The sequence below is a fragment of the Homo sapiens genome, chromosome 12 (assembly GCF_000001405.40).
Source record: "Homo sapiens chromosome 12, GRCh38.p14 Primary Assembly".
Lineage (NCBI taxonomy): Eukaryota > Metazoa > Chordata > Mammalia > Primates > Hominidae > Homo > Homo sapiens.
In genome coordinates, this window is record NC_000012.12 from 110,863,386 (window position 1) to 110,886,814 (window position 23,429).

Genomic DNA, 23,429 nt, shown 5'->3' on the forward strand with positions numbered 1-23,429 from the left:
ATCCGAGCTGCCACTCGCATGATGTACCAGTGAGGAAAGGTTGGACTGCAAGTAACAGAATTCTCAAGAGGTATTAATTGAGAGGGTAGAGGTTTGTTGTTATTATGTTGTTATCACATAACAAAATATCTGACTGGAAATAGGCTGTCCCAGGGATTTTTTTTTTTTTTTTTGAGACAGAATCTTGCTCCGTTGCCCAGGCTGGAGTGCAGTGGCACAATCTCGGCTCACTGCAACCTTTGCCTCTCGGGTTCAAGCAGTTCTCCTGCCTCAGCCTCCCTAGTAGTTGGGATTACAGACATGTGCCACCATGCCTGGCTAATTTTTGTATTTTTAGTAGAGATGGGGTTTCACCATGTTAGCCAGGCTAGTATTGAACTCCTGACCTCAAGTGATCTGCCCACCTCAGCCTCCTAAAGTGCAGGGATTACAGGCGTGAGCCACCATGTCCAACCTCCAGGGATGGTTTAGCATCTCTGCAATGATGGTTTGTCTTTTTCTCTCTGACCTTCTTTACTGGTCTGCTCCTCATGGTCACAAGGTGACTGCCAAAGCAGTCATCAGCTGGCATCAGCTTCTGCCATAGCCACATTCATCCTCACAGAACCACATTCAAAGACATGAAGATGAGATGGGAGAGAGTATTTCACAAAATCCCTCTGGCAGATTTCCCCTCATCAGCCATGGCTGGCATATATGCCCATTTCAATGTCAATCACTGACAAAGGGAAGTAGAATTTCCAGAACTGGCTTTGAGTAGACCAGGGGTAGCAAATTACAGGCCAAGGGCCAAATCCAGCCTATCTGTTTATAGTCTTCCAGCAAAGAATGGCTTTGACTTTTAAATGATTGTATGAGTACCTGGTTATAACCTCTTAGTCCGTGGAGCTTAAAATATTTACCATCTGGCCCTTTAAGAAAAGTTTTCTGAGTCCTACACAGTTGCCTGTGGTCAAGTTACTGGGGAGGCTGAAGCAGGAAGATCTTTGAGCCCAGGAGTTTGAGACCAGCCTGGGCAACATAGCGAGACCCTGTCTTAAAAAAAAAAAAAAAAGAGACTGGGCGCCGTGACTCATGCCTGTAATCCCAGCACTTTGGGAGGCTGCGGTGGGAGGATCACCTGAGGTCAGGAGTTCCGAACAGACCAGCCTGGCCAACATGGTAAAAACCCCATCTCTGCATATGGTGGTGCATGCCTGTGATCCCAGCTACTTGGGAGGCTGAGGCAGGAGAATCACTTGAACCTGGGAGGGCAGGGGTTGCAGTGAGCCAAGATCACGCCACTGTACTCCAGCCTGGGCAACAGAGTGAGACTCCATCTCAAAAAAAAAAAAAAGAGAAAATAAAATGTTTTCCACTCGGCTTAGACCAGTGATGCTCTATCCCCTGGAGCTGGGGTGGAGACCACCTTCCCTGATAGATGACTGGTAATAAGGAAATGTTTTGTCTCATATGACAGGAAGTGCAAAGGTAAGGCAAACTTCAGGGCTGGTTGGTTTAGCAGCTCAATTTTGCTGTCAGCTATGTTGGGTGTTATCCTTTGGCTGGGGCAAGATGGGAGCAGCAATTCCAGGCACCACACCCAGACTGACACTACCTTCAGGAGATGTACCCTGTCCTCCAATAACTCTTTTAGGAATGAGAAGACTTTTTCTAGAAGTTTCCTTAGCAGACATCCCTTCCCAATAGAGAGGCCCCAGCTGGTTTAGTCCTGCTTACTCTGGAATCAATACATCACAGGCAGAGGGGGTTTCTCACGGTGGCCTTGGATATGGGAGGAATGGATGTGGGGAGCCACCAGCCACTGTGTCTACCACAGTCCTGGGTGCCACCTCTGCCAGCTCTCTGGCTCTGGGTCACTCTTCTGTCTTCCACTGGGCACTTCTTGCTGCCTAAAATCCATCTTTCATCAGAGCGCTGTGGCTCCATGACTCTAAATGTGGATGTAGACCAAGGATCTCAAACTGGTAGATCTCAGGATGGATTAAGCCTGGTGACAGGAAGGCTGTGGCCCATTTATTGTTTAAGATTTCATTAGTTGACAACATATTAATAATTGATAGATGTTCAGCATATACCAAAAAAAAAAAAAAAAAAGAAAAAAGAAAAAGAAGAGACAAAGAAAAAAGAAAAAAAATTGTGAGATTTCATAAAGAAATAAGAGTTCTGGCTTTAGAAACCGAAAGATCTGGGATATCAGGCATGAATTTTCATAGAACAACCGTTAACTAAATAGTGTTGCGGGTGACACAACTGTTCCCCTATTCTCTACTTTTTCTTCTCTAACAGATTTCTGACTTTGTTCAAGCTGGTCTTGTGCCCAGCTAAAATGCTCCTCCCATCTTCCCTTGCAGCTAAGGGTGGACAGTGAGTTTTAAGAGGAAGTCTGTTGGGGTTTCTGGGAAAGTCTTGCTTTCCAGATAGATGACCTACCTCTTCAAACGTATTGCATCTTCTACTTTCCTCCCTGGAATAAGACCGTGAAGGTCGGTGCAATGGCAGTCATCTTTTAACAATAAGGGAACTGTCAGGTGAATTACAGAGATCTTGTCCTTACTTCTTTGAGCTATGGAACTTAGCTCAGCAACTTTTTTCTTTTTTTGTATATGTGAGACAGAGTCTCCCTCTGTCACCCAGGCTGGAGTGTAGTGGTGCATCCTCAGCTTATTGCAACCTCTGCCTCCCAGGTTCAAGCAATTCTCATGCCTCAGCCTGCCAAGTAGCTGGGATTACAGATGTGCACCACCATGCTCAGCTAATTTTTGTATTTTTAGTAGAGATGGGGTTTTACTGTGTTGGCCAGGCTTGTCTTGAACGTCTGACCTCAGGTGATCCACCTGCCTCGGCCTCCCAAAGTGCTGGGGTTACAGGCAGCAGCAACTTTTTATGAGAAAAAGATAAACCGTAATTTGCTTAAGCCACTCTTTTTTTTTTTTTTTAATTTATTTTTTTATTGATAATTCTTGGGTGTTTCTCACAGAGGGGGATTTGGCAGGGTCATGGGACCATAGTGGAGGGAAGGTCAGCAGATAAACAAGTGAACAAAGGTCTCTGGTTTTCCTAGGCAGAGGACCCTGCGGCCTTCCGCAGTGTTTGTGTCCCTGATTACTTGAGATTAGGGATTGGTGATGACTCTTAACGAGCATGCTGCCTTCAAGCATCTGTTTAACAAAGCACATCTTGCACCGCCCTTAATCCATTTAACCCTGAGTGGACACAGCACATGTTTCAGGGAGCACAGGGTTGGGGGTAAGGTCACAGATCAACAGTATCCCAAGGCAGAGGAATTTTTCTTAGTGCAGAACAAAATGAAAAGTCTCCCATGTCTACTTCTTTCTACACAGACACGGCAACCATCCGATTTCTCAATCTTTTCCCCACCTTTCCCGCCTTTCTATTCCACAAAGCCGCCATTGTCATCCTGGCCCGTTCTCAATGAGCTGTTGGGCACACCTCCCAGACGGGGTGGTGGCCGGGCAGAGGGGCTCCTCACTTCCCAGTAGGGGCGGCCGGGCAGAGGCGCCCCTCACCTCCGGGACGGGGCGGCTGGCCGGGCGGGGGGCTGACCCCCCCACCTCCCTCCCGGACGGGGCGGCTGGCCGGGCGGGGGGCTGACCCCCCCACCTCCCTCCCGGACGGGGCGGCTGGCCGGGCAGAGGGGCTCCTCACCTCCCAGTAGGGGCGGCCGGGCAGAGGCACCCCTCACCTCCCAGACGGGGCGGCTGGCCGGGCAGGGGGGCTGACCCCCCCCACCTCCCTCCCGGAGGGGGCGGCTGGCCGGGCGGGGGGCTGACACCCCCACCTCCCTCCCGGACGGGGCGGCTGGCCGGGCGGGGGGCCGACCCCCCCACCTCCCTCCCGGACGGGGCGGCTGGCCGGGCAGAGGGGCTCCTCACTTCCCAGTAGGGGCGGCCGGGCAGAGGCGCCCCTCACCTCCCAGACGGGGCGGCTGGCCGGGTGGAGGGCTGACCCCCCCACCTCCCTCCCGGACAGGGCGGCTGGCCGGGCGGGGGGCTGACCCCCCCATCTCCCTCCCGGACGGGGTGGCTGGCCGGGCTGAGGGGCTCCTCACTTCCCAGTAGGGGCGGCCGGGCAGAGGCGCCCCTCACCTCCGGGATGGGGCGGCTGGCCGGGCGGGGGGCTGACCCCCCCACCTCCCTCCCGGACGGGGCGGCTGGCCGGGCGGGGGGCTGACCCCCCCACCTCCCTCCCAGACGGGGCGGCTGGCCGGGCAGAGGGGCTCCTCACTTCCCAGTAGGGGCGGCCGGGCAGAGGCGCCCCTCACCTCCCAGACGGGGCGGCTGGCCGGGCGGAGGGCTGACCCCCCCACCTCCCTCCCGGACAGGGCGGCTGGCCAGGCGGGGGGCTGACCCCCCCATCTCCCTCCCGGACGGGGTGGCTGGCCGGGCTGAGGGGCTCCTCACTTCCCAGTAGGGGCGGCCGGGCAGAGGCGCCCCTCACCTCCCGGACGGGGTGGCTGCCAGGTGGAGACGCTCCTCACTTCCCAGATGGGGTGGCTGCCAGGCGGAGAGGCTCCTCACTTCTCAGACGGGGCAGCTGCCGGGCGGAGGGGCTCCTCACTTCTCAGACGGGGCGGTTGCCAGGCAGAGGGTCTCCTCACTTCTCAGACGGGGCGGCCGGGCAGAGACGCTCCTCACCTCCCAGACGGGGTCTCGGCCGGGCAGAGGTGCTCCTCACATCCCAGATGGGGCGGCGGGGCAGAGGCGCTCCCCACATTTCAGACGATGGGCGGCCGGGCAGAGACGCTCCTCACTTCCTAGATGTGATGGCGGCTGGGAAGAGGCGCTCCTCACTTCCTAGATGGGATGGCGGCCGGGCGGAGACGCTCCTCACTTTCCAGACTGGGCAGCCAGGCAGAGGGGCTCCTCACATCCCAGACGATGGGCAGCCAGGCAGAGACGCTCCTCACTTCCCAGACGGGGTGGCGGCTGGGCAGAGGCTGCAATCTCGGCACTTTGGGAGGCCAAGGCAGGCGGCTGGGAGGTGTAGGTTGTAGCGAGCCGAGATCACGCCACTGCACTCCAGTCTGGGCACCATTGAGCACTGAGTGAACGAGACTCCGTCTGCAATCCCGGCACCTCGGGAGGCCGAGGTTGGCGGATCACTCGCGGTTAGGGGCTGGAGACCGGCCCGGCCAACACAGCGAAACCCCGTCTCCACCAAAACCAGTCAGGTGTGGCGGCGCGTGCCTGCAATCGCAGGCATTCGGCAGACTGAGGCAGGAGAATCATGCAGGGAGGTTGCAGTGAGCCGAGATGGCAGCAGTACAGTCCAGCTTCGGCTCCGCATGAGAGGGAGACCGTGGGGAGAGGGAGAGGGAGAGGGAGGGAGAGGGAGAGGGGGAGGGGAAGGGGGAGGGGGAGGGAGAGGGAGAGGGAGAGGGAGAGGGAGAGGGAGAGCTTAAGCCACTCTTTAGTTGGGCTTTCTGTAACTTACATTTTTTCTTAACTGATAACAAGCTGGTGCCCCTTAAGATAGGGTGCACACATTCTAGTTTGCTATCATCTCTGCCATCCTGTCATGTCTATTTGCTGGACCACTTTACTTTTGTATGCCACCCTCCTGCCCACTTTTTGCAGCCCACTAGTGTAGATTTTTCTCTCAGCTTCCCATGAAGATAGCTGAGACTGTGCTGTGTAGACTTTCTGAAGACTTGGGGATAACCAAAGGGAATTAAAACTCAGGGATGCTAACACGGAATCCCAGATGCAACTGCTTGCAGAATTCACCAGCCCAGGCTCTGCACGGGGCCCCTGATTCCCAGCTGGAGGCTGACAAACTTTATATTTCACAACACTGAGCACTTAAGCCTTCCTCATCTAGAACTTCTCAATTCCAGAACAGGAACTGAGCTTTAGACTATCCTCATCAAGCCACCATCTCGACACAAACAGGAACAAACCAAGTTGCTTTGAATGTCATTGTCCTCTTCATTCCCTGTTGCCTTTACCTACCAGGGTTCCAAAAAGACATCTCAGAGCTTAGTCTCAGCCCAGCCTCTAAGAAGAGAATGTGCCTCTGTTGTGCTTAGGATCTGGTACTTACTAGTCTTGAAGGGCACTCTTCTTCAGATACTAGTTCTGAAACTTCTCTAAGGCCTTCTGGGACTTAGCATTAGCCGTCTGCTTCTAGATGGGGTTAAATATTGATAATGAAGATATTTGGGTGTGGGCTAAGGCTGCATTGTGGGCTGGTTATGCACACTGCTAGCAGTGTGTTGGAATGCCTCATATGAGAAACTATGGAGTGAAGTTTCCGGGACACTGGCTGGGAGTGTTTGGGTCTGGAGAACTGGGCTGGCATTACGAGGGTATAGAGAGACACTAACATTTTTTCCTGCCAGCCATGGCAGTGTAGATTTCACTTATTTGAAGTCAGAGTCAATTATCCTAATGAGTAAAGTGGATGGTGTGTCAGGAATGCTTTTGGCTGCAAGTAACATAATACCCAACCAAGAGAGGCTTTGACCAAAAGGACATTTATTTATCAATTATTTTTAATAAGCTTTTTATTTTGGCATACTTTAAAATTTACGGAATGGTTACAAAGATAATATAGTTCTCACATATCCTTCACCCGGTTCCCCCAATGTAAACATTGTACATTACCGTGGGACATTTGTCAAAACTAAGCAATGAATGTTGATATGTTACTATTAACTGAACTCCAGTTTTTATTGGAGCTTCTTTTTTTGAGATGGAGTTTTGCTCTTGTCGCCCAGGCTGGAGTGCAATGGCATGATCTCGGCTCACTGCAACCTCTACCTCCCAGGATCAAGCAATTCTCTTTCCTCAACCTCCCAAGTAGCGGAATTACAGGCGCCCACCACCATGCCTGGCTAATTTTTGTATTTCTAGTAGAGACGGGGTTTCACCATGTTGGCCAGGCTGGTCTCAAACTCCTGACCTCTGGTGATCCACCAGCCTGGGCCTCCCAATGTGTTGGGATTACAGGCATGAGGCACAGCACCCAGTCCTTTATTAGGATTTCACTAGTGTTTTCCATTCATGTCCTTTTACTGTCCCAGGATCTAATCCAGGGCACCAATTTGCATTTAGGTTATTTACGTTTCACTTAGCAAAAAGTCTCTGGACATAGGTGGCCTCAGTGTTGTTTCATCTGCTTTAAAAGATTGTGGCAGCCATGCCTTTCCCTGCACCCCAAGAGGATGCATCCCTCCATCCTCTGCTCCATCTGCATTGCCTCAGAGGGAGAGATGTCCCATTGCCCTTCTATGAGGCCAGACCCCATCCTGTGTTACCTTCCTTCAGTCACATCCCCCATTATTAGAGAAAGACCTCTCTCCATCAATGACCGCCCTGGTTGCTCTCATCTTCACCTTCTATTTTGTCAAGGTATCCCTCCCTTGCCTCTTTTATTTCAAAATAACCTAATAACTGAGCACAAACGAAACTCAAAACACAACCCACCTGCAATCCCAAATTACTGCCAGCTTCCCCCTTTCTAGAAGTTTCTAGAAGGACTTGTCTACATTCCCTGCTTCCCTTTCTTGGGCAGATGTTATTTCCACCTCCGTCCCTGGTGATGGGAAGAAGTCACCTCCACTGAAACTGCTTTCTTTGGGGTCACTAAGGACCTCGACTTCTCTAAGCCCAGTGGCTTTGCCTCAGTTTCCATCCAGAGACTTTGAATCTGTGAATACCAAACTTCCAAGCAGGAAAGGACCTCCTAAATACACAGCCCATTTGTGGATCCCTTTAGGACAGTGGTTATTTTTATTTTTATTTTTTTTGAGACAGAGTCTTGCTCTGTTGCCCAGGCTGGAGTGCAGTGGTGCAATCTTGGCTCACTGCAAGCTCCGCCTCCCGGGTTCATGCCATTCTCCTGCCTCAGCCTCCCAAGTAGCTGGGACTACTGGCGCCCGCCACCACGCCTGGCTATTTTTTTGTATTTTTAGTAGAGACAGGGTTTCACCGTGTTAGCTAGGATGGTCTTGATCTCCTGACCTCATGATCCACCTGCCTCGGACTCCCAAAGTGCTGGGATTACAGGCGTGAGCCACTGCGCCCAGCCAGGACAGTGGTTCTTAAACTTATCACTCCCAAAAACCATAACACTCCTTCCTTCCTTCCTTCCTTTCTTTCTTTCCTTCTCTCTATCTTTCCTTCCTTCCTCCCTCCCTCCCTTCCTTCCTTCCTTTTTTTTTTTTTGAGACAGAGACTTGCTCTGTCACCAGAGCAAGACTGGAGTGCAGTGGTGCGATCTCCTTCCACTGAGTTGTTAATTACACATGATGAGGTGCACGCGTCTTAAGGATACAGCTCAATGAACTGATACTTAGGTATACACTCGTAATCATCACCAAGATCAAGAGGTAGATTATTGCAGTGTCTGGAAGGCTTCCTTGGTCTCTTTCCACAAACCACCCCCAAGGAACCTCATCCTGATCTCCAGCATCATAACTTTGTTTTGTCTGCATATAGAATTGCATCTAAATCACCTCTTCCAGGATATGCACTTTATAACTGGCTTTCTTCATTCAACATTATGTCTGCCAACACCCTTTTTCAACAGCAAATAATTATCCCTTTACAATCCTGAAATGAAATCCATAAATGATAGAATATTTTCCCTTTACTGATGTTTTAAAATCAATATGATGCCTTAATTATAATATAAGGAAGAAATAAAAGTTATTTGTACTAGAATGATATTTATTTTGATACGTGAATGTCCTCATCTGACTTACCTAGAACAGGGCCAGCAAACTGTGTCTGCAGGGAACCAGATAGTGAATATTTTGGCCTTGTGGACCACGTGGTCTCTGTTGCAAGTCCTTAGCTCTGCCTTTGTAGCTTGAGGGCAGCCATAGACAATACATAAATGAATGGGCATGGCTGGATTTCAATAAAACTTTATTGACAAAAACAGGTAGTGGGCCAGATTTGACCAAGGGCTGGAGTTTGCAGACCCCTGGCCTAAAAACTGCAGTGAGAGGCCTGTATTGATAGGCAGAATTGCCAAGCATTACACATACTGCAGACAGATGCAGGCTGACTGTATCCACAACTCGAAGAACATGATTCAGGCTGTGCTGGTGACGTGATTTTCAGAATGGTGACCAACTCTCGTAAAGTTCCAAACAAATCGAAGAATAATCTTCTCTTGATTGATACAGTGACTACAGTCCCGGATAATTCAGTGTCTATTAGAATTGAATGGAAAATTCTGTGTGTGTACATAGAAAAGATAGTTGTGTTTTTGTTTGTTTGTTTTTTTAAGATAGGGTCTTGCTCTGTTCAGGCTGGAGTGCAGTGATGCAATCATGGCTCACTGCAGCTTCGACCTCCTAGGCTCAAGTTATCCTCCTGCCTCAGCCTCTCAAGTAGCTGAAACTATAGGTGCATGCCACCAAGCCTGACTATTTTTAGATTTTTCTGTAGAGATAGGGGTCTCACTTTGTTGTCCAGGCTGGTCTCAAATTCCTGGTCTCAAGTGATACTCCCACCTTGGCCTCCCAAAATGCTGGCCAAATTTTCTGTACCTAGAATCAAACTATCTTTTTTGATCAGATGTGGAAAAGGAGCTGGGCATGGTGGCTCATGCCTGTAATCCCAGCACTTTGGGATGCTGAGGCGGGTGGATCACTTGAGGCCAGGAGTTCGAAACCAGGCTGGCCAACATGGCGAAACCCCATCTGTACTAAAAATACAAAAAAATTAGACAGGCATGGCGGTGCATGCCTTTAGTTCCAGTTACTCGAGACGCTAAGGTAGGAGAATCGCTTGAACCTGGAAGGAGGAGGTTGTGGTGAGCCAAGATCGCGCCACAGCACTCCAGCCTGGGCGACAGAGTGAGACCCTGTCTCAAAAAACAAAAAGAAAGTTTCAAAAGAAAATAAAAGTATAAAGAGGTCTCTCATCTACGTAACATCCAGGGGGCCACTGGGAAGTCACAAGGATGGAGGAGAAGTCTTGGATGCCTGGTGCTATCTCACATGTTGCAGGGTATGTGACCTCTCGTGACCCACCCATTACATGCCACTAGTGGCTTCATCATTGCAAGAGCCAAAAAATCACTTCTCCAAGTTTACAGAAGTCCCCTGGGAGGACGATGTCATTTCTGCTGGAAACCATGGCTTTGGGTAGGCAGAATGTATGTCATTGTGTATAAATGTCACAGGTGAGTGACATTTACATGCACAGGTGACAGCAAATCTCCAGACTGCTTTATTGTACCCCGAACTGGCTAAGATTAAGTCTAACTGAGGAGGCATCCAACAGATAAGTTAAAATTCCATTTATAGGAAAAGAAAGAACATTGCAGTTTTTGTCTGAGCACACTTCAGTTAGTGAACTGTAGAGCTGGTACCCATACAGATGCTATCTGAGCACACTTCAGTTAGTGAACTGTAGAACGGGTACCCATACAGATGCTAACACAGCTGGAATTTCTCTCTCTCTCTCTTTTTCAGATTCTTCAGATGGAAAAAAAAATCGCAAACCAAAAACAGATTTTCGCAAAAATGCAGGAGGCCAATAACCCCCGGAAACTGCAGAAACAGATTCACATTTTGGAAACCCGTTTGAATCTCGTATGTAAAGTGTTCTCTGCAGCTCTGCAAACAGCTCTGCCCACGTTTGCTCAGAACAAAAATGATGTCTGCCCAGCCATTAGCAGAACATACCCATTTCCCTGGTTGACTCAGGAGCAGGTGAACTAATGGCCACACAGGCCAGGAAGCCTTTAGGATTTACTGTCCACCTTAGCAAATGCGGTTATCCCCTCAAACCCTTACCCGAATCCCCCAACCTATCTGGGATGCCTACTCTTAGTTCTCTGCCTCCAAACTTCCTGTTGGTTTTCAAGAAGCAGCTCAAGCATTACCCATTACCAAAGCAGCATTAGTTAGACCTTCCTCCTCTGTGACAAGCTGCTCATGCCTCTATCATAGCCAGTGCCTTTTTGTTGTCGGTGTTGTCTCTGAGAATGAGTAGGCATAGATATGCATAACTTGATAATGGGAAAGGTGACACTGATCATCCTCAATCTACAGTGACTTTTGCATTAAGCAGGGTTCCTTAAATTGCAATCTGGCTTAAGAAAAAAAGGGGAATGTGTTAGTCATAGAATTGAAAGATCCAGAGGAGGAAGTGGGGCCTTCAGGCATAGCTGGATCCAGGTGCTCCATACATGTCTTTAGGACATATTCTCTGTCCACCTCTCCTCTGAGTGGATTTCATTTTTGGGTAGCCCCCAGTGTGAACGAATGCTAGTAGAAATGAAACATCTTTTTCCTAAGAGTTTAATGACGTATTCTGGGGAGAGTTCCCACTGGGCCAGCTTGGGTCATGTGCCCATTTCTGAACCAATCAGGGTGGGTGGTCAGAAGAATGAAATACATGGGCCTGAGTCACATGGCTACCCTGGGGCCCCTCTCCTCCAAACCCACCCACTGCTACCCCAAGTCAGGGAAGGGCAGCCCTATTCAAAATAAGTGGATTAGAGGAGAGGTGGTTCCCCTGGAAAAGCAAAAAGAGTGGAGAAGGAATGATGGACAGGGACAAACCACACATTCCAGTCTGGTTTGTGAAACTGTAGCTCCCACATGAGCTACTAGAGAGAGAAAGTGAATGGATTTGGAAGAAAGCCTGTCATTCCTTCACTAAACAAAGCTCTTAGCTTCCCCCAGACTTTGACCACCAGGCTTTGAGCAGGCATGGTGGGAGCTAATTGGATCTGATCTCTGTCTGCCTCCCCAAGTTGCTGCTGAAGGACTGGGCAGTGTCTTTTTAATATCCATGCCCAGTGATTTGCAACTGTGCCTCAGAATTCCTAGGATATGGGTTAAAAATACAGATTTTTGGATTTCCTCCAGATTCACCAAATCAGAACCTCCAGGGCTTAGATTTGGGCATCTGCACCGTTATTAGCAAACCCAGAGAGACTGAAGGTCCCATTGGTTAAGAATCATAGATTTAATGCCTGGCATGGTGTTTAATGCCTCAGCAAATGTCTGTTGATTGAATGAGTTACTAAATGCATGCATGATTTAATGATGACTTGTCTATAGGTATAATTTTTTTTTTTTTTGAGACGGAGTCTCACTCTGTCACCTAGGCTGGAGTGCAGTGGCACGATCGTGGCTCACTGCAGCCTCAGAGGTCTGCTTTTTTGTTCTAAGTCTATTCAGATGTTCTATTCTTCTCGAGTCAATTTCAGTAGTTTATGTCTTTCTAGGAATTGGTCTATTTCATCTAAATTATGCTAATCTGTTGGTATATAGTTGTTCCTAGTATATCCCTTATACTTTTTCCATAAGATCTGTAGTAATGCTCCTTTTTATATTTCTGAGAGGTCTGTTTTTTGTATCTCAAACTGGTCCCCTCTTCCCTTCATCCCTAACGAGATGTGATTGTGCCTTTTAATAGGTTAAGCAGCTGACCTGGCGCGGTGGCTCACGCCTGTAATCCCAGCACTTTGGGAGGCCAGGGTGTGTGGATCACTTGAGGTCAGGAGTTTGAGGTCAGCCTGGCCACCATGGTGAAACCCTGCCTCTACTAAAAATACAAAAAAATAAAAATAAAAATTAGCCAGGCATGGTGATGCATGCCTGTAATCCCAGCTATTTTGGAGGCTGAGGCAGGAGAATTGCTTGAATCTAGGAGGCGGAGTTTGCAGTGAGCCGAGATTGTGCCACTGTACTCCAGTCTGGATGACAGAGTGAGAACCTGTCTCAAAAAAAAAAAAAAAAAAGGTTAGGCAGCCATCTCTAAAGGCAATTTTGGGGTCTCAGAGTACCCCATGGTCCTAAATATCCTCCACCTACTCAGTGGGGCCTGAGAGTCCTCCCCATAGGTCAGGTCTTTCCCCCCCACAATCAGAGGATAGATAGTATGCTACGGTCCTGGAGCAAAATTCACAGTAAGGAGCAAATGAGTGGTAACTGATAACTTCCCAAGAGGAAGTGGAGGATGCAAAGATAGAATAAGAATGCTCTGCTCCCAGGGACTCCCCTACCTTGTGTGGTGGCTATGGAGACACTCAGGAACACCCAGAGCTCAGACTAGCAGAAGCAAGCAAAAAGCCCAGGATGCAACATTTTAGGAGGCTCTTCTGCTCAGGCTTGTGGAAACACAGGGCTGGCACCTGAGAGTGAGTGCCTCCTTACATTTCATGCCCCGGTTGCTTCACTTGCTTTACCCCAGTGTTGGCCCTGCAGAAACCGAATGTTTCTTAGAACATACTTTGAAAACCTCCAGTGAAATTAAATCCCCTTGCTGTTAGGAATATTTTTTTGTAGTTGTCTCTTTTCAGTGCTTATGGGAGCACTTTACGTGGTCTTTTAAAAAAACTTAAAAAATAATTTTATTAAAAAAAAATAAACCAGATGTGGTGGCTCACATCTATAATCCAAGCACTTTGGGAGGCTGAGGTGGGAGGATCATTTGAGGCCAGGAGTTTGAGACCAGCCTGGGCAACATGGTGAAACTCTGTCTCTACTAAAAATACAAAAAAAAAAAAAAAATAGCTGAGTGTTGTGGCCTGCACCTGTAGTCCTAGCTGCTCGGTAGGCTGAGGTGGGAGGATCACTTGAGCCTGTGATTGCACCATTTTATTCCAGCCTGGTTGACAGAGCGAGACCCTGTTTCATAAAAATAAAAAATAAATTCTACTGTGTATATTTAAGGTATATAATATATTATTTGATACATGTAGATATTAAAGTGGTTACAATAGTGAAGCAAGTTAACATATCTGTTATCTCACATAGTTACCCATTTTTGTTTTTGTGACAAGAACCTCTAAAATCTGCACATTAGCAGGAATCCCAAATACAGTACAATTTTTTTTTTTTTTTTTGAGACGGAGTCTGGCTCTGTCCCCCAGGCTGGAGTGCAATGGCACGATCTTGGCTCACTACAACCTTCACCTCCCAGGTTCAAGCAATCCTCCTGCCTCAGCCTCCCGAGTAGCTGGGACTACAGGTGTGCGCCACCACACCCAGCTAATTTTTTGTATTTTTAGTAGAGACAGGGTTTCACCATGTTGGTCAGGCTGGTCTCAAACGCCTGACCTCACTCAGGTGATCCACCCATCTTGGCCTCCCGAAGTGTTGTGATTACAGGCATGAGCCACTGCGCCTAGCCCCAAATACAGTACAATTAGAGTCCCTGGAGTCCTGATGTTGTACCTTAGGGCTCTAGACTTGCTCATTCTCCATATCTGCTACTTGCTATCCTCTGACCTCCATCTCCCTGCTCCCTTTCCCCCTCACCCCCTCTGCCCTGGTAACCACTGTTTTATTCTCTATCTCTGTATATTTGACTTTCTTTCTTTCTTTTTTTTTTTTTTTGAGACTGAGTCTCATGCTGTCACCCAGGCTAGGGTGCAGTGGCGTAATCTCGGCTCACTTCAACCTCTGCCTCCCAGGTTCAAGCGATTCTCCTGACTCAGCCTACCAAGTAGCTGGGGATTACAGGTGCCCACCAACATGCCTGGCTAATTTTTGTATTTTTAGTAGAGATGGGGTTTCACCATGTTGGCCAGACTGGTCTCGAACTCCTGATCTCAGGTGATCCACCCGCCTCAGCCTCCCAAAGTGCTGGGATTACAGGCATGAGCCACTGCGCCCAGCCTTGACTTTTTTTTGTTTAGAGTCCACATATAAATGAGATCATGCAATATTTTTCATTCTGCGTCTGGCTTATTTCACTTAGCGTAATGTCCTCCAGTTTCATCCATGTTGTGGCAAATGGCAGAGTCTCCTTTTTTAAGGCTCAGTAATATTTTATTGTGTATATATATGCACACACACACATATGTATCCACATATACATACATATATATACCTATATGCATATATGTATACACACATGTATACATACATATACACATACATATATACACACATATAAGTATGTGCATATATATACACACTCACACACCCCAATTTCTTGTTTTTGAAACAAAGTCTCACTCTGTTGCCCAGGCTGGAGTGCAGTGGCGTGATCTCGGCTCACTGAAACCTCTGCCTCCCAGGTTCAAATGATTCTCTTGCCTCAGCCTCCTGAGTAGCTGGGATTACAGACACCTGCCATCATGCCTGGCTAATTTTTGTATTTTTAGTTGAGACGGGGTTTCACCATGTTGGCCAGGCTGGTCTTGAACTCCTGACCTCAGGTGATCCACCCGCCTTGGCCTCCCAAAGTGCTGGGATTACAGGTGTGAGCCACTGTGCCCAGCCCCCACTTTCTTCATCCATTCATCTGTCAGTGAATACTTAGGTTGTTTCCAAATCTTGGCTGTTGTGAATAATGCTGCAGTGAATGTGAGACTGCAGATGCCCTTACGAGGTGGTGATTTTATTTCCTTTGGGTGTATGCCCAGGAGAGGGATTGCTGGGTCATATGGTAGTTCTATTTTTAACTTCTTTAGAAACCTTCATCCTTTTATTCCATAATGGCTGCACCAATCTACATTCCCATGAACAGTGTAACCAATCACATCGCCTTTAAAAAACAACTTTTAAAAAAGCTAAGACAATTTATAAGACATACAGGAAAGTAGAGGGAATAAAATAATGAGCAAATCTATCACTTTGATTTAATAACTGTTAACATTTGCTTTATTTGCTTCACCATTTTTCCCCTGAAGTATTTAAAGGTGAATTACAAGTGTCACGACATTTCACCCCTAAATACTTCAGTTTGCATATTTTAAAATTAAACTTTTTCTTTCACAGTCATAAGACCAGTATTACACCCTACAAAATGAATAATATTTCCATAATATTACACAATACCTAGTCCATATTAACACGTACCTGGTTGGCCCTAAAATGTCTTTTAAAGGTAGATCCAGTCAAGGTTCACATAATTGTTAGGTCTCTTAAATTTCTTTAATCTAGAACAGTGGCTCTCAATTGAGGGTGATTTTGCCTCCAAAGGGACGTTGTCCCCAAAAGGAGACACTGTTGGTTGTCATAACAGAGTTGGAGGTGAGGGTGCTACCTGCATGTAGTGGGTATTTAATATCCCACAAAGCATAGGACAGCCCCCTATAGCAAAGAATCATCCAGCCCAAAATGCCAGTAGTGCTGAGTTTGAGAAACCCTGCATGAAAACAGCCCCACCCAATTTTTTTTTCATGCTGTCAATTTGTTGAAAAGTCCAAGTCAATTGTCCTGTAGAAAGTTCTATTAATATCTTCTCAGTTTGGCTGATTATTTCCTATGCTGTCATTTAGCTTGTTCCCCACTCCTCTGTTAATTGCCTACAGCTGGAACTTAGGTCTAAAAGTAGTTGAGGAATTTGAAATACAGTAGTAAAAAGGATCCACTAAAGGGCCCTTAGCCAGTTGGTGGGCCACTCAACTGGCTCCAACCAGTTGAGCCTCTTGCCTACTGCTCCAACCACTCCTCCATGGCCCTTGCGTATGAGGTGGGGCAAAGACCTGACAGCCTTCCAGGTGCCTTCTGGTAGCTTATCTTACAAAACAGAAATGAGACCTGTTTTGAAGCATGGCCCTTTCAACAGGTCACTGTTCACTTTGACAAGATGCTGACCACTAATGCCAAGCTCCGGAAGGAGATTGAAGACCTACGATTTGAGAAGGCTGCTTATGACAATGTCTACCAGCAGCTCCAGCACTGCCTGTTGATGGAGAAGAAAACCATGAACTTGGCCATTGAGCAATCTTCTCAGGCCTATGAGCAGAGGTGGGCTGGGGATAGGTCCAGGGGCAGCGAGGTCTCTTAGCCCCTTGCTGAGCATCTAGCTTCCTACTCTGGGCCACCACTGTCCCTGGTCGTTATGTGTTGGGGAATCTTAAATCATAGTAGTAATAATTCTGAGCACTGACTGTGTGCCAGGCATGATGCTAGGTACTCTGGTGGGTATTGTTTTAACTCTCACAACTGCCCTAGGAATTATTATCCCCATTTTACAGACTGGAATGTGCAGGCTTAGAGATGCTAAAATGCCTACCTGAGATCCAGGTAAGTGGTGATTGTGGTGAAGTTGAGATTCAAACCTCTGTGCTGTACCATCTCCTCCAAGTGCCCCTGCCTCTAGTCCAAGGGGATCTTTCTCAATCTGGGTCTCTGCTGGCTTCACACTCATAGGAGCAAAAGGCATATAGTTTGGCTGTGAAGGGCGTAGCCTTCAGAGTCAGATCTGGGTTTAAATCCTGGTTTCATCACTACTGTATTGTTGTAGGAGCTCTTTAGATGGTAAAGAGGATTAAATAATATATAAATGTAAAGTAGTGCCTGGGACACAGTAATTGATAAGTGGTGATGATGGTGGTGACGATAATGATGGTAATGATGGTGATATGGTGATGGTGATGATGGTTATAGTGATGGGGTGGTGATGGTGATGGTGGTGATGATAGTGGTGATAATGATGATGGTGGTGATGATGATGGTGACAATGATGATGGTGATGGTAGTGATGGTGATAATGGTGATGGTGATAGTGGTAATGGTGGTGGTGGTGATGATGATGATGGTGATGCTGAAGGCAATGATGATGATAATGATGGAAAATCATTTCTGGGAGTGATCTAGAGCTTACAGCTCCTGTTGTTCAGGTAAGGAGGATTGTTTTTACACACCGAGAAACCTTTATGATAAATAAAAGTGATAGTCATTCTCTAGGCAGGAAGGCCTTCTGGACTGGCAGGGAAAGGGAAGTAGAGAGGAGGAGCCTCAGATGCTCAGGCTCTGTACTCCCTTTGCCCAGGGTGGAGGCCATGGCTCGAATGGCTGCCATGAAAGACCGCCAGAAGAAGGACACCTCTCAGTACAACCTGGAGATCCGAGAGCTGGAGCGTCTCTATGCCCATGAGAGCAAGCTCAAGTCCTTCCTGCTCGTCAAGCTGAATGATCGCAATGAATTCGAGGAGCAGGCCAAAAGGGAGGAAGGTACACCCTCCAGGAGCAAGCTTGTGCTCTCTCACTCTCTTTCTTGCCTTCTTTCTCTCTTTCTCTCTTTTTAAGTGAAGGTGCCCAAGTCTCCTTGTGGTTGTCAAATTTAGCAAATAAAGATATAAGATGCCTAGTTAAGGTTGTGCATGGTGGCTCACGCCTGTAATCCCAGCACTTTGGGAGGCCAAGGCAGGCTGATCATTTGAGGTCAGGAATTTGAGAACAGCCTGACCAACATGGTGAAACCCCGTCTCTACTAAAAATACAAAAAAATTAGCTGGACATAGTGGTGAGTGCCTGTAATCCCAGCTACTTGGGAAGCTGAGGCAGGAGAATCACTTGAACCCAGGAGGCAGAGGTTGCAATGAGCCAAGATCATGCCACTGCACTCCAGCCTGGGCAACAGAATAAGACTCTCAAAAAAAAAATGCCTAGTTAAATTTAAATATCAAATAAACAATAAATAAATGTTTAGGATAACTATGTCTCATGCAGCATTTGGGACATACTTATGATAAAACTTTTTTGTTTATCTATAATTGGGACATATTTATACTTAAAAATATATTTGTCTGAAATTCAAATTTAACTGAGAACCCTCTATTTTATCTGCCAACCCTAATTTACAGCATGTGTCTTCATCTGGGACTCTCTTTCTATTATTTAGAAGGAGACTTATTGTCAGGGGTCCCCAGGTTCATCTCTAGGTTTGATGATTCACTAGCATATCTCGCAGGACTCAGCACTGAGGCACATTCATGGCTGTGATGCATTACAGTGAAAAGGCACCAAGCAAGATCAGCACAGGGAGAAGGTGTGTGGTCCGGCGTCTGGAGGAAACTGGGCGCAAGCTTCCAAGTACAGTCACACTGAGCACACATGGTTCTTTCAGGATCTGTGACCACACATCATGTCAAGAGTTATCTACTAGGCTGGGCATGGTGGCTCATGCCTGTAATCTCAGTGCTTTGGGAGGCCAAGGCGGGAGGATCACTTGAGGCCAGGAGTTTGAGACTGGCCTGGGCAAATGAGCAAGACCCCATCTCTACAATGAATAAAAAAAAATTAGTTGGGCATAGTGGTACATGCCTGTGGTCCCAGCTACTCTGGAGACTGAGATGGGAGGATGGCTTGATCTCAGAAGGTCTGATGGTGACAAGGTGCTGAGGGGTAGAAAAAAGCAGATCCTAAGTCCAGGAGTTTGAGGCTGCAGCAAGCTATGATTGCGCCACTCCAGCCTGGGTGACAGAGTGAGACCCTGTCTCTTAAAAAAAAAAAGGTTATCTCATAGTGGGGTATACTAGAGATTCAGTACCCCAAATTCTTACTGGGGGCTGGTCGTGTAGACACCCTCTGCCTAGCACATACCAAAATTCTAGACACTCAGAGGAAAAGCAGGTGTTTGGGATAAACTGCTGGGCATGGTGGCACTTGCCTGTGGTCTCAGCTACTGGGGAGTCTGAGGTGGGAGGATCGCCTGAGCCTCCCCAGAACAGTGGGGAGCCACAACCTGTAAAAAGGTCACATGGTCAGGTGTGCCTAAACGATCCTTTTATTTATTTATTTATTTATTTTTAAGAAACAGGGTCTAGTTCTTTCTCCCAGGCTGGAGTGCAGTGGTGTGACAGTCACAGCTCACTTCAGCCTTGACCTCTTAGGCCCAAGCCATCCTCCCACTTTGCCCTCCCGAGTAGCTAGGACCACAGGCATTCAACACGACACTTGGCTAATTTTAAATTTTTTTTTTTTTTTTTTTAAGACGGAGTCTTGCTCTGTCACCCAGGCTGGAGTGCAGTGGCGCAATCTCGGCTCACTGCAACCTCCACCTCCTGGGTTCAAGTGATTCTCCTGCCTCAGCCTCCTGAGTAGCTGGGACTACAGGCACATGCCACCACACCCAGCTAATTTTTGTATTTTTAGAAGAGACGGGGTTTCACCATGTTGGCCAGGATGGTCTCAGTCTCTTGACCTCGTGATCCACCTGCCTTGGCCTCCCAAAGTGCTGGGATTACAGGCGGGAGCCACTGCACCCGGCCTAATTTTAAAAATTTTTTGTAGAGGTGGGGTCTTGCTATGTTGTCCATGCTGGTCTTGAACTCCAGGGCTCAACCCCTGTGCTGGGATTACAGGTGTGAGCTACCATGCCCGGCCAGGGCAGGGATTTTGTATCAGCAGTGCCTAGCACAGTGTGTGACTCATAGTAAATGCTTCTTGAGATATTTGTGAAATGAATGATGGGTGAAGCTTCTGCTCTATCTCCTGGAAACATCTAGCCTCATCCCTAAAGCATACTACTATATATATATTTTTTTGTTTGTTTGTTTGTTTTTTGTTTGCTTGTTTGTTTGTTTGTTTTTTGAGATGGAGTCTTGCTCCATCGCCCAGGCTGGAGTGCAGTGGCGCAAACTTGGCTCACTGCAACCTCTGCCTCCCAGGTTCAAGCAATTCTCCTGGCTTAGCCTCCCATGTAGCTGGGATTGCAGGCATGTGCCACCACACCTGGCTAATTTTTGCATTTTTAGTAGAGACGGGGTTTCGCCATGTTGGCTAGGCTGGTCTCGAACTCCTGACCTCAGGTGATCTGCCTGCCTCGGCTTCCCAAAGTGTTGGGATTACAGGCGTGAGTCACCATGCCTGGCCACAATAATATTGATCACGTTACTGTCTGCCTGGCACGGATCTGAGGAGCTTCCTTTTGAGTGTCACAGTGGCTGATTTTTCCTTTCCTAGCTCTCAAGGCAAAGAAGCATGTCAAGAAGAACAGGGGAGAGAGTTTTGAGAGCTATGAGGTGGCCCACCTCCGGCTGCTGAAGCTGGCTGAGAGTGGGAACCTAAACCAGCTCATTGAAGATTTTCTGGCCAAGGAGGAGAAGAATTTTGCTCGGTTCACGTATGTCACGGAGCTCAACAACGACATGGAGATGATGCACAAGAGGACCCAACGAATCCAGGTCAGGGCGGCTCTGCTTTCCCAGGCCCTGGGCCCCTGTGTCCACAGCAGCCTTTCCAGGGCAGTCTCCTAGGAAGGCTCTGTGAGAGGCACTACAGAAAGCAGTTTGGCCAACACCGCTCTATTCCCCTTACATTTTATGTTTGAGACAGGATCTTACTCTGTCACCCAGGCTGGAGTGCAGTAGTAGTGCGATATTGGCTCACTGCAGTCTCAACCTCCCAGGCTGAAATGATCCTTGCATCTCAGCCTCCTGAGTAGCTTGGACTACAGGTGTGCACCACCATGCCTGGCTAATTTTTGTATTTTTTGTAGAGTTGGGATTTTGCCATGCAAGGCTGGTCTCGAACTCCTGACCTCAAGCAATCCTCCCACCTTGGACTCCCAAAGTACTGAGATTACAAGTGTGAAACGTTGCACCCAGTGTCCCCTTACTTTTTATTTGTATTTTTTTTGAGACGGAGTCTTGCTCTGTCATCCAGGCTGGAGTGCAGTGGCATGATCTTGGTTCACTGCAACCTCCACCTCCCCGGTTCAAGAGATTCTCCTGCCTCAGCCTCTGGAGTAGCTGGGACTACAGGTGCCCGCCACGACGCCCTGCTATTTTTTTTTTTTTTTTTTGTATTTTTAGTAGAGATGGGGTTTCATCATGTTGGCCAGGCTTGTCTCAAACTCCTGGCCTCAAGTGATCCACCTGCCTCAGCCTCCCAAAGTGCTGGGATTATATAGATGTGAGCCACCACACCTGGCCTGTAATTGTCTTTCAATGTATAGATACATTTCATGTATTCATGTCCCCCAACCCAATAGTGACTTTATAATCCATGGCATGTTTTATTAACCAGCATTCAGTAAACTACAGTCCATGGCTATTTCTGTGTAGCCCATGAGCTAAGAATGATTTTTACATTTTTAAAGGATTGTAAGAAGAAAAAAAAAAAAGAGAGAGAGAGAAATATGCAAGAGGGACCTGCAAAGCTGAAAGTATTTCTTATTTGGCCCCTTACCTGACCCTTGTTAATCAACAGTTTCGAGGAGTGAGAACTCATTCTCATCTTGGCGAGACTTGATGCACAGGCCCTGACAAGTCCTGCAGTAAAGAAGCCTGTCTACCTTTGTTGAACCCATAATTTCCCAAATGTCATTGGCTTCCTGGGCTATTTACACACCAGTACATAAATAAACATCCTTTGGAACTGTCTGCATGGAATAGAGTCTAAACCCTTTAGTGTGACATTCCAGCCCCTTCAAAATTTGGCTTCTACCTGCCTTTGCAGACACAGGTCCTGTTATGACCTCCAAGACACCCTCTGCTGCTGCCAGCCCCAGCTGTCCCATGCATTTCCCTCCGCCACTGCCTTCCCGTGCTATTCCCTCTCCCTCCCCTCCTTTTCTCTTCTGATGAAATCCTGCTCATTAGTCCTGACCCTGCACAAATGTCGCCTCCTCTGGGAATTCATTAGTCCTTCTTCTGCAGGCCCTGTCCTCTGCTTACATGATGAGGGGAGCTGCTTTCCTTTGCAATATGTCACTGTTTCCCAAATGTGGGGCATGCACGCTGGCCATGTGCAAACAGATTGCAGCTAGAATATAGGTGAAAACATTTTCATTTACTAGTGATGAATTAATTTTTAAAGGAATAATAGAGCTTGCAGAGCAAACTTGTGATTTAATGGATATTTACTTAGGGTAGTAAGTAATAATAACAGTAAACAAAGAATAATAAACATAATGGCTTGGTTTACAGAAAACTATTATAGATAATAACAGTCCATGTGGCTGCAAAAAATGGAGTGAAGGTGACTTTATCAATTAGGGTTGTCACAGGAAACAGCACAGCCAACATGGGTAAATTGGCCAGGCACAGTGGCTCACACCTGTAATCGCAGCACTTTGGGAGGCCGAGGCGGGTGGATCACCTGAGCTCAGGAGTTCGAGACCAGCCTAGGCAACATAGTGAAACCCTGTCTTTACTAAAAATACAAAAATGAGCTGGGCATAGTGGCCTGCACCTGCAATCCCACTACTTGGGAGACTGAGGCAGGAGAATCCTTTGAACCCGGGAGGTGGAGGTTGCAGTGAGCCGAGATGGCGCCACTGCACTCCAGCCTGGGTGATACAGGGAGACTTCGTCTCAAAAAAAACCAAAAAAAAACCCACCCCAAAAAACCACCAAAACCCAAAAATAAAATGGGTAAATTGAGGAGAGTTTTTAAAAAGGGACTGTTTCCAGACATCTAAGGAAATTAAGAAGGGAGCATGCGGGAGTAGCCAGAGCTCCAGAAATGGGTCAGGGGAGGGAGGAATGAGGATATGGCTGCCTGCTATGCCCTTCCTGGAGGGGTGCAGCCAAATTAGGGACGGGCCCAGGGGGTGGCAAATACCCCAACCTCCCTCTCCTCCCACCCTTTATCTCCCACTTGTGCCTCCCACTGGCTGGGCTACTCAGCAGCCAAGCACAAGGAAGCCCATTGGTGCAAGCCCTGCAGGTCCCAGGCAGGGCATGGGGAGGTGTGGGGTGGGAGGTGCACCCGGGGGTGGGGAAGACAGACTTGAAGGACCCTC

The 23,429-nt window shown here is 47.8% G+C and overlaps 1 protein-coding gene across 8 annotated transcripts in view; it reads left to right on the forward strand.

Annotated features, from left to right (window-relative positions):
- The window catches only part of CCDC63 (coiled-coil domain containing 63), a 63,050-nt gene that overhangs the window by 18,900 nt on the left and 20,721 nt on the right, over positions 1-23,429 (forward strand). For all 8 annotated transcript variants that reach the window (XM_011538001.3, XM_011537999.2, XM_047428443.1 and 5 more), the window contains 4 exons: positions 10,457-10,576; positions 16,521-16,702; positions 17,730-17,911; positions 20,645-20,865. In XM_011538001.3, coding sequence (XP_011536303.1) covers positions 10,457-10,576; positions 16,521-16,702; positions 17,730-17,911; positions 20,645-20,865 — 705 coding nt within the window. The remainder of the gene's footprint in view (positions 1-10,456; positions 10,577-16,520; positions 16,703-17,729; positions 17,912-20,644; positions 20,866-23,429) is intronic.